The sequence below is a fragment of the Homo sapiens genome, chromosome 3, assembly GCF_000001405.40.
Source record: "Homo sapiens chromosome 3, GRCh38.p14 Primary Assembly".
NCBI lineage: Eukaryota > Metazoa > Chordata > Mammalia > Primates > Hominidae > Homo > Homo sapiens.
Genome location: NC_000003.12, coordinates 73,161,090 through 73,180,399, shown reverse-complemented (window position 1 = coordinate 73,180,399; position 19,310 = coordinate 73,161,090). Strand labels below are relative to the sequence as shown.

At 43.5% G+C, this 19,310-nt stretch overlaps 1 long non-coding RNA gene across 1 annotated transcript in view, besides 1 other annotated feature; it reads right to left on the bottom strand.

The window, feature by feature from the left end:
* LOC107986098 (uncharacterized) overlaps positions 1 to 19,310 on the bottom strand; it is a 222,236-nt gene that overhangs the window by 137,070 nt on the left and 65,856 nt on the right. The window lies entirely within an intron of this gene.
* Positions 15,314 to 15,920: an enhancer, noted in NCBI's record as "OCT4-NANOG hESC enhancer chr3:73213631-73214237 (GRCh37/hg19 assembly coordinates)". NCBI's record gives its function as "activates a minimal SCP1, AML or CMV promoter by ChIP-STARR-seq in primed H9 embryonic stem cells {active_cell/tissue: H9 hESC(primed)}" and the evidence as "EXISTENCE:reporter gene assay evidence [ECO:0000049][PMID:30033119]".

Below are 19,310 nucleotides of genomic sequence, written 5' to 3'. Positions count from 1 at the left end.
CTATTGTTTAATAATTTTTTGGTTTAAAAAAATTATAAAATTGGCTGAGCACAGTAGCTCACTCCTGTAATCCTGGCACTTGAGGAGGCCAAGGCAGGCAGATCACTTGAAGCCAGCAGTTTGAGACCAGCCTGGCCAACATGGTGAAACCCCATCTCTACTAAAAATACAAAAACTAGCTGGGCATGGTGGCACACACCTGTAATCCAGCTACTCAGAAGGCTGAGGCATGAGAATTGCTTGAACCTAAGAGGCAGAGATTGCAGTGAGCTGAGATCATGCTACTGCACTCTAGCCTGGGTGACAGAGCAAGGCCCTGTCTCAAAAAATATATATATAAAATTATATTAGTAGCTATTAATAAAACAGAGGAGTACATTTTACCCTTGCAATTACAGTCAATATTTTGGTGTCACTTCAGCCAACATACCAACATTCAGTCAAATCCCAAAGCCAAATGGATATTTTCAGATGGAATCGAGATAGACAGGAACTGGCTTCCCTTTCTCCTCTTACTGACTATGGGGACAACCCACACCTGCTCAGTGGCCTAAAATATTTTAAATATGTTCATGACAATTATGCTAAGAATGTAGAATAACACTGATGGAACCCAGGATTGTGGTCTACATTTACAGGCCTAGGACTAGAACTAGACCAGCTTAGAGAGTGGGAGATATCCCTCTGTTCTTGTCCATCAAAGGATAAAAATATAGGCTTTCGGCCGGGCGCAGAGGCTCACTCCTATAATCCCAGCACTTTGGGAGGCTGAGGCAGGCAGATCATGAGGTCAAGACAGCGAGACCATCCTGGTCAACATGGTGAAACCCTGTCTCTACTAAAAATACAAAAATTAGCTGGGCAAGGTGGCAGGCGCCTGTAGTCCTAGCTACTCGGGAGGCTGAGGCAGGAGAATCGCTTGAACCAAGGAGGCGGAGGCTGCAGTGAGCTGAGATCACACCACTGCACTCCAGCCTGGTAACAGAGCCAGACTCTGTCTCAATGAAAAAAAAAAAAATACAGGCTTTCAGCTGGGTGCGGTGATGCAGGCCTATTTCCTAGCTACTCAGGGGGCTGAGGTGGGGAATCCCTTGAGCCCAGGAGTTTGAGACCAGCCTGGGCAACATAGTGAGAGAGCCCCATCTTAAGGAAAAAAAAAAAATCAGGTTTTCAATATGAGTAAAAACTTATTTTTAGGCCTTTTATGACTTTCTAAATAGGTAATAATGAACACCGAGGGAAGCAAAACATTGAAAAGAATTTTAAAATTTGTTTTAGAACATTCATATGAAATTTGAAACTGCAAAACAATGTAAAATTTAATGCCATGTCATTTATTTTTGTGTATATTGTGTTATGTTTATTTTCAAAGTCCTATCTAGAAATTCTAAAATGTCTTTTCTTAATTAAAAATCAAAAATACTGTAGTTTTTGAAATTCAAAATAAATACTTTAACATACAAGAAAAATTTAAATTAAAATGGTAAATCAACCCTAGAAGTCCACAAGTCAGCTTTCATTTAAAAGGAGGTTGCTTCTCTGCACATCATTAAAGTTTGTAAAATTACATCCCAAGAACCTTCCTAATGTTCATACCAGACCCATTGCCTGCCCTGGCCTCTTATTGCTGGGCTCATTAACTCAACAAATGCTTATTTATATCCCACCATGGTCAGAGAACTGTACTGGTGCAAAGTGGCTGAAGAAAGGGCAGTTCATAGGAAATGTCAGACCTGAGCCTCATGTCTCCATCAGGAAACAACTAATGCACATGGATAAAATAGCACTCTCCTCAGCCATCACCAGTGTGAGGACAGTATCACAATAATAGCTTCAATGTCAGTGGTTCATGTCCACCTTGCCCCTGCAGGATTCCATCATTGTCTCTGCAGCTGTATCTAGGTATCAGCAAGAGTCTTAAATACTTTTGCTTGGGTATCCCTTCCTCTATTCTCTTATTTCCAAGGGGAGGCTTCTTCCCTATTGCCTGGAAGGGAACAGCAGTAGAGTGACCCCCTTCAGCTCTTACCTGCTCCTCCCATTGGAAGGAGGAGTAATGAATATGATTGGTGAGATGGGCCCAGCTGACATCCCTTGGGCCACCTTTGTCCTGGGCAGGGCCACTGCACTAAGCAAGGACAGCAGGAGCCACCTACTCTTGCCAAGAATGGTGGTTGCTTGTGCCTCTTGCTCCTTCTGGTAATCAGATGAAGTAGGGCCTGCTGCAGGCCAGCCTAGCCAACCTTCCAATTTACCAGTTCCAGTTCTTCAGCCTGCAACTAAATATGCAAATCAAAGTCATGTGAATCCCAAGGTCCATGTGAGAGAGAGAAGCTCCATTGCCAACTGACCTAAGCCCATAGGGCTGCTCAACATTATCAGATTTGGAACAAGGAGGCAACATTGGTCAAGCCAAACTTTAAAGGTAGCGGGGAGCTAAGTGGCTCCTCCCCCACAGCTCACTGCTATGTAGCATGTTAGAACAAAAACAAGTCTTAGACCAAATTTTCTGTTTGTCTAATCATTTCTTAGAGCATGTGGGCTCAAAATAATCATGCAACCTGTTCTGTAAACTCAGAGACATCTTGTTTTCTATACTTGGGCTCTCCAATAAGAAAACTTCGAGAGAATTTCATTCATTTGTAATCAATTCCCTTCTAGTTGGATCAAACAACAGGTGCCTCTGAGAACTGGAGGACACAGAGCTAAGTGACCTTCTAACCTTCAGTTTGTGCTGTCATATTATCCTGGCCGGGGTCTTAAACCTCCTTGACTCAAAGGTGGTGATGCCTGCAGAGTCTTTCTGGCAAGCAAATATTTTTAACCAATCACTCATCCGGTGAAAATTATTATTTCTACACATCCCTTATGCAAATAAAAACCCCTCATTGGAGATTTCAGATCAAGATATTTGAAGCCACCTCTGAAAGGTGGATTCCTCATTAGGCTCTTTCAAATCCCAGCTAATTACCCAGAGAGTGGGAATTTCAGATGAGAATTATGATGGATTGGAGCTGGCTGAACATTTTTTTTTATGCTCCTCTGTTTGGAAATCTAATTCCCCTCCCTCTGAAACTAGGCCAATAGGATATAGACAGATAGAAATAGAAATAGAGATAGAGAGACAGAGAGAGAGAGAGAAAGGCAGGGAGCGATTTTAAGGAATTGGCTCATGAAATTGGGGAGGCTGACAAGTCGAATCTATGGGGTAGACCAGCAGGCTGGAGACTCAGGGGAGAAATGCTATCATTCATGTTCAAAGGCAGTCAATGGGCAGAATTCCCTCTTCCTCAAGGGAGAACAGTCCTTTTTCTCTTAAGGCCTTCAACTAATTGGATGACTCCCACCCTCACTAGAGAGGGCCATCTGCTTTACTCTGAAAGTCTGATGTAAATGTTAATCTCATCTTTAAAAGATAGCTTCACAGAAACATCTAGAATAATGCTTGAACAACTATCTGGGTACTGCAGCCTAGCCAATTTGACACATAAAGTCCACCATCACAGTCAGCATTGGTGGCAGGAGATGTGATGTAACATGACTTCGAGGGCTAAGTGATAAGAAGCCTTGAAACCTTGGCATGGGTCTCCTGGAATGCTCTCTTGGAAGTCTGGCTCCCTGAGATCACCATAATGTGAGGAAGCCCAAGCTAGCCCCATGGGGAGACCGCATGGAGAAAGAGATGCCCAGCTAGTCTCATTGTTCCAGCCATCCCAGCCCAAGCACTGGACACACGAAATAAATCATCTTGGATGTCCAGGCAGATGAGACTTCAGATGCCTCCAGCCCCCACTGCCATCAGGCTGCAAGCACATGAAAGACTCTGAGAACTGCCCAGCTGATCCCATTCAACCACAGAACCATGAGAGAGATTCATATATTGCTTTCTAACTCACCAAATGTTAGGGTGGATTTCTATGTAAAAAATAGGTAAACAGACTACGAATACTTGAAATATTAACCTACACTCCCAGGGTACATATTAAACTTAACTTCACACATATGCACATCATCTACACCAAAGTATTTTAAGAAAATTACAGCCAGTATAACTGTCCTGCCACATGCTCTATATATTCTGAGCCCATTTGCCTCCTGTGTCTGTTTCCAACAAGTTAAGGACATGGAAGGGTGTGAGGGGGGTTAGATAGGACCCAAAACCATCAACAGGGGCCCACACATCTTCTCCAACAGCACTAAAGTGTCTGCCAGGCCCTGCCAATAACATTACAGGTGTGCTTATAGTGTGTAGAATAAAACACAGGTGGGTTGCCTGTGGGGTAATGAGGGAAGAATGTCTCTTTATCTCTTTTATGTCCAGCTCTGTCAGAGAGATACCCCAGAGTTTGTAGAGAAAAACTCTTCCTTCTCTACCTGTTGCTCTGCGCTCTAAGGCTACAGAGAAGCCAATAGGAGCTGGGAGAAATCAGGTGTCAGGCACCATGCCATTATCTGATAACTGAGCTTTCTCTAACAAGGCCAGGCTCTCCATACCTGGTTCTCCTATTTCATCAGGATGAATTGTCCCCCAGGAGGGGCCTCAGCCCTTATGCAAATTGGCTTTCCAGGGTGCCCACTCCATCAGCACAGACATGGCCAGATTTTCTTAATTCCTCTTAGACTCAATCTAGAAGCTCTGCTTCCCATAAATGAAATGGTGGCAAATACTGACAATCTAACAGATTAATCAGTGTAACAGAGTGACCCTGGAGTCAGAATTTAAATTTATTTTTTAGCAAGAAGCTGACAGCTGCTTCTTTGTAGAGCAAGGTTAGCAACTCAAATGGCTCCAAGCAGGGGAGATATTAAAAATATTTAACAACTGGAACCACCTGAGCCCAGTGGGCTCAGAGCAGGCCCTGTCAGCCATAGATATCAGCCCTGCTCATACAAACCAGGCAGGTAAGTGGGAGGAATGGGCACATGGGGGCTGTGGAAGAGGACAGCTCACGCTTCATGTAAAGAAGAAGCTGCTATCCAGCTCCAGGCAATGGAGGACATGGGAATGGAAGCCTAATGTTATCGAAAAAAAAAAAAAATAGAATTTTTTTTTTCCCAGAGAGGCTGCCACGAAATTTGTGAAATTTCCTGATTTAAATGTTAGCAACTACTTTGAATATTTACAAAAATATCTTTGCAAGCTGCTATGGTCTGAATGTTTGTGTCATTCTCCCAAAATTCATATGGTGAAATTCTCACCCCCAAGGTGATGATATTAAGAGGTGTGGCCTTTGGAGAGGTGGATTAGGTCATGAGCGCGGAACTCTCACGCATAGCATTAGTGCCTTATCAAGGGGGCTGGGGGCAGGGTGGGTGGGGTGGCTCCTTCACTCCTTTCGCTGAGTGAGGAACCAGAAGGCAGCCATCTGCAGCCTGGAAAAGGGTCCTCACCAGAACCTGACCATCCTTATCTTGGACTTCCCAGCCTCCAGAACTGTAAAAAAATAAATGTCTTTTGTTTAGAAACCACCCTGTTTATGTATTTTGTTATGGCCAGAATGGAATAAGATACAGGCCAAACCACATACATGACCTTCATGCTATCATTGTTACTGCTTTTCGAAAGGCAGGCCCAGAAAACTGTCATTATTCTATGTAGAGTCATGTAAGTAGCCTGTGCATTATGCAAACAAGGTTAATAGGCATTTGCACTTTGAGGGGATGAGCCTACTGGTCCTCTGAGTTAGCAGAGCTGTTCTCCGCCTTGCTACATAGACCTCTAGAATGAGAAAAGTCAAATTAACATCAAGCTCTAGGAAACTCCTGGGTAAAAATATTGGGGATCCCAACTTCTATTCTCCCAAAATTAAAGTTGGAGCAATTCATCAGGATGAATTTCGATGGACTAGGTGAGTTCTGCCACCAAAGTTGCCCGAATGAAGCTTCAAAACCGTGGTGGACATCTGGGTGAGCATTCCACGCTCTACCAAGAGCTGGCCCTTTCATATTGTTTGTGATCTGGGGAGAAGTCACTGGTCATGTTGTGGGAGCCCCAGGAATAGGAGCATGGCAACCTAGGCGGGGCCTGGGAAAGCAAAGGCACCACTGCACTGTGGCTAAGTAGCATCTATTGAAATGTACAGCATTCACCTTCAACTACAACATCACTGGCCACCAGAAGCAACAGCTTTGTGGGCGCAGCCGATTCTCCCTTCTGTCCCAGCCTGGTGCTTACAGGTGGTCTCTCAGACTGACTAACCCCAGAATTCAGGGCTGTCTTTGTAGGCATGTGACATGTGCAACCACAGAGGGCCAACAGGTTTGGTTTAATGCTCACCTTGAAAGTCTTAATTTTTATTTTAATTTTATTTATTTATTTATTATTTTTATTTATTTATTTTTTGAGATGGAGTCTCGCTCTGTCTCCCAGGCTGGCGCAATCTCATCTCACAGCAACCTCTGCCTCCCAGATTCAAGCAATTCTCTGGCCTCACCCTCCCAAGTTGCTAGGATTACAGGCGCCCGCCACCACACCCAGCTAATTTTTGTATTTTTAGTGCAGACGGGGTTTCACCATGTTAGACCAGGCTGGTCTCAAACTCTTGACCTCAGGTGATCTGTCCGCCTCAGCCTCCCAAAGTGCTGAGATTACAGATGTAAGCCACGGCACCCAGCAAGAGTCTTAATTTTCCAACAAGGGGTCTTGCATTTTCACTTGGCACTAAGCCCCACAAATTATGTAGCCAGTTCTGCCCTTGAGGTTCTTGAACGATTGCAGAGGGACAGCATCGAAAAGAAGGCCTTAAGAAGTAAGTACAATTGATTCTCCTTATTCACAACAGTTATGTTCTATAAAGCCGTTGCAAACACTGAATTAGTGAATACTGAACCATTGCTCCTAGGGAAAATATAGGGTTAGGTTTATGCAAGCTTCTGTTCATAACGTTTTCATCCACCAATCAATACATAACCTTTTTTCAATGTGGTTTCTGTTTCAATACATGTTATTTAATATATACAGTTGATTAATTGACATTGAACTCACAGCCAAGAGCACTAAAATTCATGCTGGAATGAAACTTACCTAACACACATATTTTCTGTGTAAGACACATTGTAGCCTTCCTGCAGTTGGAACCACTGGACAGCATTTCAGCACTATGCTTGGGGACCATTGTAAACAGCGAAGTCACCAAGAAAAAACACAACAGTGTGAAAAACAGCTCTAAACAGACCATGAGAGGGACATTGTTGACAGTATGAGAGCTGAAGCGAGAAGGGAGAGTGTCATGTCGTTCCACCTCACCTGGGAACATACATATCAGGTGACTCAAATGTCGCCACTCTGTGCAATGTCCACAAATGCCTGTGAAAACCCCTTGAGTACTGGTTTGGGGATTATGAATAAAATCTAGCAAGTAGAAGAGTTCACAAATACACAATCCACAAATAATGAGGATCAATCGCACCAACTTCCTTTTGGTATGTTATATGGGAGACCAGGTATTTGGTGGGAAAAATAACATGACCATATAAGACCGCATGCTCTTAAGATAGATCAAAGCACTTACTTTGATATGATATATTGATATAATATTGATATAATAATGATACCATATACTTATATAGCACTTACAATTAGATGATATTATGAACACATTACATAAAGTAACTCGAGGGAACATCATAACAGCCCAAAGAGGTACTGGTACAAGGTCTGGAATTTACTTTCAAATGCTTTTATATACACAATGTGACGCTAAGCATGTGCTGCCTAGTCCAACCTTTAACTCTAAGGCCAATTGGTTGTTTTCACAAAACAGAACACTCAAGAGTGGTGGCCAGGCACAGTGGCTCATGCCTGTAATCCCAGCACTTTGGGAGATCTGAGGCGGGCAGATCACAAGGTCAGGTGTTCCAGACCAGCCTGGCCAACATAGCGAAACCCTGTCTCTACTAAAAATACAAAAATTAGCCGGGTATGGTGGTGGCACATGCCTGTAGTCCCAGCTACTCGGGAGGCTGAGGCTGGAGAATTGCTTGAACCCAGGAGGCGGAGGTTGCAGTGAGCCGAGACCACGCCATTGCACTCCAGCCTAGGTAACAGAGTGAGACTTTGTCTCAAAAAAAAAAAAAAATAAGTGGTTTAATGTCATATCAGAAAGGCCATTGCCCCAGAGGCGTCTGCGACAAAGTTTCTGTTTTCCATATTGCCATCAACACTCAAGGTTGGGCTAATTAGCATAGTGAATGTCAGAACAGGTTCTTCTTGGTGAAATGGTTGGCAAAACCCCATCTCTACTAAAAATACAAAATTAGCCGGGCGTGGTGGCACATGCCTGTAATCGCAGTTACTCAGGAGGCTGAGGCAGGAGAATCACTTGAACCTGGGAGGTGGAGGTTGCAGTGAGCCAAGGTCATACCATTGCACTCCAGTCTGGGCAACAAGAGCAAAACTCTGTCTCAAAAACAAAAATAAATAAATGGTGTAATGAATGTTCAAGAAGTACTCTTGGCAGGCAACATTAAAGTAAAATATTTGGGGGATATCCTCCTCTCTTCAACAAGGTGTAAGAATCTAGCAAGACCTGTGATCTGCACCCTCTGGAATGGCACCCAAATCTCAATCCCTAAATGGTCCTGTGTCTGTCCACTGTGGTAGGAGGATTTCTGGCTGCCTGATGCTAACCGCAGGAGAGTCTCAAGTCAGCATTGCATGAAAGGTGCTAGCCAAAACAGCTAAAAATTACAGAGCGCTGAGAGCATCTCACACTTGCAGAAAAAAGGGTACGCACCGTTATCTGTCTGCTCGTGACTATTTGGTTACCGAATCTCTGTGTGAGTGACGGGATTTTATCTGAGGCCACTTTGTCATACAGTACGCCCTGGTAGAGACAGTATAGGTAAGTAGCTAACCCTCACTCTCCTCCAACTTCTTCAGTGGGTTTTGTTATCCACTGATGGGGACAATGGTCCCCAAGTTACACAGCTACTAAGAGGTAGAGCCAGGATGTCCACCCAGGCCATGTGGCTGCAGCTTCTATATTCTTAACCATATGCCATACTGCCTCTTCACCTAAAAGCAACATGCGACCTAAATCCATTGCAGCTTAGATTAATTTGGCAAATCTACAGAGCCCTAAAAATACACATATTTGCAGGAAAGAGGAAAAAAAGAGTCTGAAATTTAAAAAAAGATGAAGACAATGAACAAGGCTAAACTATCAGGAACTTTAAAATGACACAAAGTCCATATTCACATCTATCCCTAATTCTAACACCATGGTTTTAGGTGGTATGTGAATTTTCTGTCACAGCATCTAAACATGCACATCAGTTAGAAAACATGATTGTAAAATTACTGAAATACGAAGAAATGACCCTCTTGGAGTTGATGAATTAGGGTATTTTTGTCACTGTCCTTTCAGCCATGGTCACAAACCCACACCTCCCTGAGCAAGCGTAGGCCCTGTTGACTCGTGGCTCTCCTTATAAAACCATGAGCTCTTTACCAGGCTGAAATGAAATTCATAGATAATATCTACCTATGTGTGTACTTTTTAAAAATTAATAGCCTAACTGTAATATACACAATAAACAAAAGGACAGGAATTGAAAATATTACTTTAATATGTAGATATGGAGACAAGACACACTGAAAGACATAATGATGCAGACACGTGCTTGCACCTATATGTACAATCATAATAAATGTCATTGTTAAAAGTGCAGACTGAGGTGGGCATGTAGAATTGACAATCTAAATACAAGTAGCTTCCAAGAGCCAGGGAACTTACTAAAATGCTAACTCTTGGTGGTTACATTATTGGAATGCTCAGCATATACTCAAATGGTAAAAAAAAGAAAGGTTTTATTATATAAAAAAGAGTTAGTGTCTGGCCAGCGCGGTGGCTCATGCCTGTAATCCCAGCACTTTGGGAAGCCGAGGCGGGCAGATCACGAGGTCAAGAGATCGAGACCATCCTGGCTAACATGGTGAAACCCCGTTTCTACAAAAAATTAGCCAGGCATGGTGGCGGGCACCTGTAGTCCCAGCTACTTGGGAGGCTGAGGCAGGAGAATGGTGTGAACCCAGGAGGCGGAGCTTGCAGTGAGCTGAGATCATGCCACTGCACTCCAGCCTGGGCGACAGAGCGAGTCTCTGTCTCTAAATAAATAAATAAATGAATAAATAAATAAATAAAAGAGTTAGTGTCTAGATAATTACACAGGTTTTTCTCCCATATGCACACCCAACAGGGCATTTCAGAGCTATACAGGGTTTCTGGCAATCACTCTTGAGTAGAACTATCCCGCACATTGCAGGGCATCAAAAATCCCTGGTATCCACCCATCACATGCCATTAGAGCCCCGCAATCCTTGTGAGGACCCCACCAATTCCCAAAGCACCTCCCAGAAGGCAGCACTGCCCCACTGAGGACCTCTGCTGTAAGGTTTTTTCTGAAGCTTTGCACATCTCTAGGTCTATGGTACCAGGAAGCAGTTGATGCTAGGGAGGAAACAGCCTGCCTATGGCCTTGGGAAAAAGGAAATTCCTTCAGCTCTCCACAACCTGGGCTCTGATGTGGGGGACTCAGGAGCAAGTTGGCCTGGAAGCAGACTGGGAATCAATGATGTTATTAAGCCCCTAACTCAGTTCCACTAGTGGTGGCTGCAACTGCGTGATTATAGCAGAACTGCATTCAGCCCACTGCAAGTCAAAGTAACAGCCAATATCCAAATCTCTCCAAATTCAAAAAGGTGCTGCTGAGTTCTCTAGCACTATCAAGAAATCAAAGGTATCAAGATTGACCATTTGTACACAAGAAGAACAGTGCAGCTTAAACTGCTAAGAGTCCCGGTTTGAACCCAGGATGTCTCAAAGGCTTGGGTTCCTACTCATTGCACCAAATCAAGGTTCTAATAGAATAAGGAGTGATCAGAGCCACAGAATGCTCACAGGAGGCTACTGCAAGAAGGCCAGTCATGAGTAACAAGGGGAGAAGCCAGGAACAGAACTTTATTCATGGGGAGCATTGGCCAAGTCTATGCTGTATTATAAAAGGACTGTCACGATTCACACACGAGTCAAGGACTCTTTGCTTCAGGGAGAGATTGGTAACCACCAATAATGATGGAGAAACTGGAAAAACACCACCAGCTTTGCAGGAAAGAAAAGCTTCATTTTCATCAGGATCCAGGAATAGGCTAGACAATTAAAATGAGACTGAAAGAAGGGGAGAAAGAAAGGAAGAGAATAAGCATCTGACAGCCACTGAGCCGGGGCTGCCACCAAAGGGGCCTTGAAGAGAGGTAGAGGGCATGGACGCTCTGAATGCAGATAGAAAAAAGAAACAGACAAGAAAGAGAAGGTGGTAGAAAAGGTGAGAAAAGCAAAGTAAGAGAGGTGATTAAGAGGGTCCAACATCACTAAGTTGAGAAAAATGCAAGTTTCCAGGAAGAGGGGCAGCCGACAGTGTCAGAATATGTGAGGGACTGAGAAGCTGTGAAATCATCATATTTCAGAACGTGAGGTCAGTAATTCTGAGGGTAAAAATAAAAGCTGCAATGGAATGCAAGATGAGGCACACAGGCAAGTGTAGAGGGATAAAAAAGGACTTTGCTAAGAAGAAACAAATGCAGAGCCTCCTGGAGATAGTGAGCTACAAAAGATGCAAGAAAAAGAAGGTGTTTGCTAAAAGAAGACAGTAGGGTAAAGAGGTTTCTTCCCACAATAAAAAAAACTAGCATCCACAGAAATGGAGAAGTGGCTGGGCGCAGTGGCTCACACCTGTAATCCCAGCACTTTCGGAGGCCAAGGCAGGTGGATCACCTGAGGTCAGGAGTTCGAGACCAGCCTGGCCAACATGGTAAAACTCCATCTCTACTAATAATACAAAAATTAGCTGGGCATGGTAGCGCATGCCTGTAATCCCAGCTACTCCAGAGGCTGTGGCAGCAGTATCGCTTGAACCCGGGAGGCAGAGGTTGCAGTGAGCCAAGATCATGCCATTGCACTCCAGCCTGGGCAACAAGAATGAAATTCCATCTCAAAAAAAAAAAAAAAAAGAAAGAAAGAAATGGAGAAGCAAAGGAGAGAAACCAGCTGTAGAACAGGGGGTGGCAGGGCTTTATGTGAGTTCCTGTAGGGAAGGACAAGGGATTGGCTTTTGAAGGTTGGATAACCTTTCCCTCCAAACTTCCCACAGAGAGGGTAGGCAATGTAAAGCCAAGAGTGTGGCTCTAGCTATCACCTTTCCTTTTCCAATGTGGGTGTCCTCATCTCAATTTGTGTGCAACCTCTGGTCTCCAAGTAACCCATTTCTACTCTGACAAGCTGAGAGAAACAGCCATGGGCCAAGACAGATTTGAGCTGTGGCTCAGCAAGTGTTCTGTGGTGGGAAGGCTGTGGCTAGGAAGCTTTAGCAAAGGGGAAACTTAACTCTCCCTAACAAAACTAGAGGTTCGTAGTAGTCCTGGAATTGAAGAAGTCCTGGAATTGAACATGTTTAAAGGGATCCACTTTAACAAACCTAGAAGCTCAGCATCTCAGAAAGGACAATTTTTAGCACTGAAGGCCATGCTGAGACAATGCAGCTGACAGAATCGCTACCCAGAATCTGAAACCAGCTCAAGGCTGACAGCCCAACCTGACTAAGAAGACCAGCCAGGGCTTTGTCCAAAACACCACAGATGAGGAAAATAATCTTCTGTCTAGTAACAAGTTGGTGATGACAGAATCCCAAATGTCACTGCCAGCTTGGGAAAAAACCCTCTAATAACAAGGTAAAGATGATTTTGTCAATCTGTGGAAAGGATAAAATTTTAAATTACATTCTATTTCCTAGGACAATTTTTTGGGGTCTAACTTAACAAGGTTGGTGAGACTTAGCTCTTTACTATTTTAAGCACCTTAGGCACATACAAAAAAAATGTCTGGAACTTGTTATACATAATTCATTCTCTGGAGCTGAGAATAAGAAACTAAGAGATGAAGTTTGAAATAAAGGTTAATTAAGGGGGAGAAAAAAAACGGGACTTATTGGAGTTAAAAAGGATAACAGCTGAGGCATTTCTCACCAAACTGAATAAAAAGAGCCGATATTTCCTTCTGGAGTATTTACGGAGAACCCAATATGTTCCTGTGGGGTGATTTTAAAGTATGGCCACAATTTTTTTTTGGTTTGTTTTTTACATTCCTCCCTTCAGAAAGTAGACCCTAATCCTCTTCATCTTGGATGTGTGCTGGACTTAGTGAATCACATGTAACAAATGGAACATGGCATGATGGCAGTGTGTCACTTCTAAAGCTAAGTCATAAAAGACATCACCACTTCCATCATATCTCTCTTGGATCACCTGCTCCGGGGGCTGCCAGCCACCATGTTGTGAAGACACTCAAGCGGCCTGTGGAGAGGCCCATGTGGGAAAGAACAGAGGTCTCTCACCAACAACTGGCACCAACTTGCCAGCCAAGTGAGTCAGCAACCTCCTTTAGCAAACATCTTTTCTTGCATCTTTTATAGCTCAATATCTCCAGGAGGCTCTGCACTTGTTTCTTCTTAGCAAAGTCCTTTTTCTCCCTCTGCACTTACCTGTGTGCCTCATCTTGCATTCCATTGCAGCTGTTACTTTTATGCTCAGAATTACTGACCTCACATTCTGAAATACGATGATTTCACAGCTTCTCAGTCCCTCACATATTCTGACACTGTTGGCTGCCCCTCCTCCTCCAGCCCCAGTCAAACCTTCAGATGACGACATCCCCACCCAACATCTTTAATGCAGCCTCATGAGAGACACCGAGGCAGAACTATCCCCTGACAAGCTGCTCCCAAATTCCTGACCAACAGGAACCATGAGGATAATAAATGCTTATTATTTCTCTAAGCCACTAAATTCTGGGCTAATTTGTTACACACTGAGAGATAACTAATACAGTTTGACACTGTGCAAAGTTCTGGCAACACAGGAGCAAAAAACTGATAGTCCCAACCATCAAGAAGCTCATTGCCTACTGTGGAGATAGTCTGGTAAAGCCAACAATAACAAAACCACATGGCTGGGCACAGTGGCTCATGCCTGTAATCTAGGCAATTTGGGAGGCCAAGGTGGCTGGATCACTTGAGCCCAGGAGTTCAACACCAGCCTGAGCAACATGGTGGAACCCCGTCTCTACCAAAAATACAAAAATGGCCTGGCGCGGTGGCTCACGCCTGTAATCCCAGCAGTTTGGGAGGCCGAGGTGGGTGGATCATGAGGTCAGGAGATCAAGACCATCCTGGCTTATATGGCAAAACCCTGTCTCTACCAAAAACACAAAAAAATTAGCCTGGTGTGGTGGCGGGTGCCTGTAGTCCCAACTACTCTGGAGGCTGAGGCAGGAGAATGGCGTGAACCCAGGAGGCAGAGCTTGCAGTGAGCCGAGATTGCACCACTGCACTCCAGCCTGGGGGACAGAGCAAGACTCCGTCTCAAAAAAAAAAAAAAGAAAAGACAAAAATTAGCCAGGCATGGTGGCACACACCTGTAATCCCAGCTACTTGAGAGGCTGGGGCAGGAGGATCACTTGAACCCGGGAGGTGGAGGTTGTAGTGGGCCAAGATCATGCCATTGGACTCCAACCTGGGTGACAGAGCAAGACCCTGTCTCAAAAAAAAAAAAAATCATGTGATAACTACTATAATAGAGGTATATCCATCAGGACGAGCATGAGTATACTGTACTAACAAGCAACCTAAAAATCTCAATGGCAGTTGGGCGCAGTGGCTCATGCCTGTAAACCTAGCACTTTGAGAGGCCAAGGTGGGTGGATCACTTGAGGTCAGAAGTTTGAGAACAGCCTGGCCAACATGGTAAAACCCCATCTCTACTGAAAATAAAAAAAAATTAGCTGGGCGTAGTGACGGGCACCTGTAATCCCAGCTACTCAGGAGGCTGAGGCAGGAGAATCACTTGAACCCAGGAGGCAGATGTTGCAGTGAGCCAAGATCGCACCACTGCACTCCAGCCTGGGTGACACAGCGAGACTCCGTCTCAAAAAAAAAAAATAAATAAATAAATAAATAAATAAATAAATAAAAATAAAAATCTCAGTGGCTTAAAACAACACAGCTCATCTCTTGTTCATGTTATACACCAGTTGCATGTTGGCAGGGAGCTCCACTTACTCCAAGGCCTGGTATCACAGAGCAGCCATCATCTGGCTTACCGTAGCAGAAATAAAGAAAAAATGGCAAATTGTGACTGCCTATTGACGTTTCCATCTGGAAGTTACGCATGTCAATTTCACTCATATTTCATTGTCCAAAGCAAGTCATTTGATAGTGCTGAAGTTTAAGGAAAAGCAGGGAAATATATGCTACCATGTTTCCAGAGAAGGGGAAATAAGAAGTTTGTGAACATCCCAGTGGTGACCAGATGTATGCTGGGTGCTACGAGAACACAGAAGAAAGACAAACTAATTCTCCCCAGAGGAGAGGTGTCAGAGATGGCTTCTAGAAGAATGAATACAAAGAAAGAAGAGTTTATTAACCAGTCAAGGATGGAAGAGCATTCCAGATAGAGGAAACAGTACACGAAAAGCTCATTTGCACAAGAATATTTCACATTCTAGAGAGCAGCAGGGAGCAGAAGTACAGGGTATTATGCTAGGCGGAAAACATAGTCAGGGACCAGGTGTGATGAGGTTCTACGTGCCTTGCCAAAGTTTGTGCTTTGATGACTACCAATGCTTCCCAATGAGGACACCTGGAGTGGGACAATTATGGAACTGTCTCATGTATTGCAGGATATTTAACACCTTGGGCTCCAGACCACCCATAGTACCCACAGCCATTATGACATTACCAATCCCCGTATCCATCCTAAGTAACCTCAGAGATGGGGGGAGAATACTGTGCCCTACTGAGAACAATTGGTAAGTAGGATAATCTGTTTTTCTAAGACACATGAAGCATAATCAAATTTTGAGAAAACTCAAGAAATACAAATAAGACATAAATCATTGCAATAAACAATGATTGCCACAAAATAAATGCTGCAACAGTAACAGTTGGTTACTATGGTACAGAGACACTAGACTACAGATTATATGTAATTTGTATCACATCCCTCTAACTCTGCCCCTCAAGAAAGGATTGCTTTCACTCATTTCAAGAAGAATGCAAGTGATTGAGAGTAAAGGATTAGGAATGCCTTTGATTCTGCTCTATTGTATTTTTTCTAAGTAGACAGCACTAAGTCTAGTACTTGAATAACATTCTTTTTTTTTTTTAAGACAGAGTCTCACACTGTCGCCCACGATGGAGTGCAGTGGTGCAATCTCTGCTCACTGCAACTTCTGCCTCCCGGGTTCACACCATTCTCCTGCCTCAGCCTCCCAAGTAGCTGGGACCACAGGTGCCCACCACCCCACCCAGCTAATTTTTTGTATTTTTAGTAGAGACGGGGTTTCACCGTGTTAGCCAGGATGGTCTCGATCTCTTGACCTCATGATCTGCCCACCCCAGCCTCCCAAAGTGCTGGGATTACAGGTGTGAGCCACCGCATCCGGCCTTGAATAACATTTTCTAACACAGCTCAAAAGTTTGTGACACAACCACTGCTAACTGCTAATATGGAATTTAAATAGAGGTGTTATGAAATTTCCATATTTAGAAGATTATTCTGGTAGTTTAGAGTCAAGCAAGACTGGTTCATACTTTCGTAGAAGTTCAAGCAACCAATACTGAGGACTGGGAAACAGTAAAAGGGATGGATTTAAGATATGTCTGGGGAGGAAAAAAAATCAACAAGATTTGCTGGCCACTAAGAGAGGTGAGAAAAGGAAGAGAGGAGACCCAGGGAAAGCCACCGGCCATAATAAGTAAACAGAGGACACGAAGAGACAACAAAATCAAGCCATAAGGTAAAAAAGGAAATTTCCAACAGCCAATTTAGTGAATAAAGGACAGCATTCCCCAGATCCTGGCCTGCCAAATTCTAGACTTGCAAAAAATCATACTGTAAAAGGGTTCTGTGGTCAAGTAAGTTTGAGAAATATTTTCTACTCTCCCATCTTAGAGATTTAGTATACATATTTAGTGTATTACTATTCTAAGCTGTTTTACAGGAAAGAAACAAGTTTAAATTTTATTTAACCCACTGCATCCCATAAGTTTGGTCTCAGAACTCTTTTTCCTCCAAAAGCCATGAAGATCCTACCAAACCAATGTTCCAGGGAACACGCTTTGGGAAACAGAATTTTAAAATGTATGTAGGAGAACTCCTACAAGTCAATCACAAAAAGACAAACAACTGAATTTTAAAATGGACCAAGGACTTCAATAGACAGTTCTTCAAAGAAGACATACAAATGGCCAAAAAGCACATGAAAAGACACTCAACATCACTAGTGATTAGGGAGGGAAATACAAATCAAAACTGCCATGAGGTATCTCTTAACGTGAGATAGGAAGGCTATTATCAAAAACAGAAAATCACAAGTGCTGGAGACGATGTGGACAAATTCAATCTTTGTGCATTGCTGGTGAGAATGTAAACTGGTGCAGCCACTGCAGGAAACAGTAGCTCCTCTAACAGTTTTTTGTTTGGTTTTTCTGTTTTTCTTTTTTTTAAGACAAGGTCTCACTCTATCGCCTCAGCTGGAGTGCAGTGGCATGATCTCAGCTCACTGCAGCCTCAACCTCCCAGGCTCAAGCAGTCCTCCCACCTCAGCCTCCTGAGTAGCTGGGACTACAGGCACAAGCCACCATGCCCAGCTAATTGAGTTTATATGTTCATGGAATACAAATACGGTTTTGCTACACTGATATACTGCATTGTGGTAAAGTCAGGACATTCAGTGCATCCATCTCTGGAGCAATGCACATTGCACCCGAGCAACCTCCCATCATCTACTCCCATCCCACAGTTCCTCAGAGAGTTAAACACAGAATTACCAGGTGATCCAGCAATTCCACCTCTGGGTATATCCCCAAAAGAACTGGGGCCAGGCATGGTAACTCACTCCCGTAATCCCAGCACTTTGGGAGGCCGAGGCGGGAGGATCATGAGGTCAAGAGATTGAGACAATCCTGGTCAACATGGTGAAACCCTGTCTCTACTAAAAATACAAAAATTAGCTGGCCATGGTGGCACAGGCCTGTAGTCCCAGCTACTTGAGAGGCTGAGGTAGGAGAATCGCTTGAACCCAAAAGACAGAGATTGGAGTGAGCCGAGATCATGCCACTGCACTACAGCCTGGAGACAGAGCGAGAGTCTGTCTCACAAAAAAAAAAAAAAAAAAAAAGGAATTGGAAACAGGGATTCAAACAGATATTTGTACACCTATATTCAACAGTAGTATTATTTACAATAGCCAAAAGGTGGAAATAATCCAAATAACCATTGACAGATGAATAGATAAACAAAATGTGGTTTATACATGCAATGGCATATTATTCAACTTTAAGACAAAAGGATATTCTGGCACATGCTGCAATATAGATAAACCTTGAAGACATTATACTATGTGAAATGTTGACATTTTAAATTCTGGTTGATTTGCATCTCTCGATCTTTCCACCCATTTGCCATACACCCAGCAGCATTTATCTTCTTTTTCCTTCTTTTTTTCTGAGACAGTACCCAGCCTGGAGTGCAGTGGCATGATCTCAGCTCACTGCAACCTCTGCCTACCAGGTTCAAGCGATTCTCCCACCTCAGCCTCCCAAGTAGCTGGGACTACAGGCACTCGCCACCACATCCTGCAAATTTTTGTATTTTTTGTAGAGCCGAGTTTCACCATGTTAGCCAGACTGGTCTCGAACTCCTGAGCTCAAGTGATCTGCCCACCTTGGCCTCCCAAAGTGATGGGATTATAGACATGAGCCACCGTGCCTGGCCCATTTCATCTCCTATGGCAGTGTTTCTCAGCCTAGCTTCTTAGAATCACCTGGGAAGAGTTTGGGTTTTGCTGTTTTTTTAATTTGTCACAAAAAGACAAATACTATATGATTCCCATCATATGAGGTATCTAGAGTAGTTGAAATCATAGAGACAGAAAGTAGTATGGTGGTTGCCAGGAGGGCAGGAGGGAGGAGAGAATGGGGAGTCCTTGTTTAATGGGTATCGAGTTTCAGCTTTGCAAGATTAAAAAGTTCTGGAGATTGGTTATACAACACTGTGAATATACTTAAAACCACTAAACTTGCAGATGTAACTATAAATTTACATTTTTTAAATGAAATTTTTTGTTATGTGTATTTTATAACTAAAACATAACTAGGATCAGGGAGCATCTGAGACCCCTGAAATTTGAAGCATAGGCAAGTATTTGACTACTTTTGAATTCTGGCTGATTTGTGTCTCTCGATCTTTCCCTCCA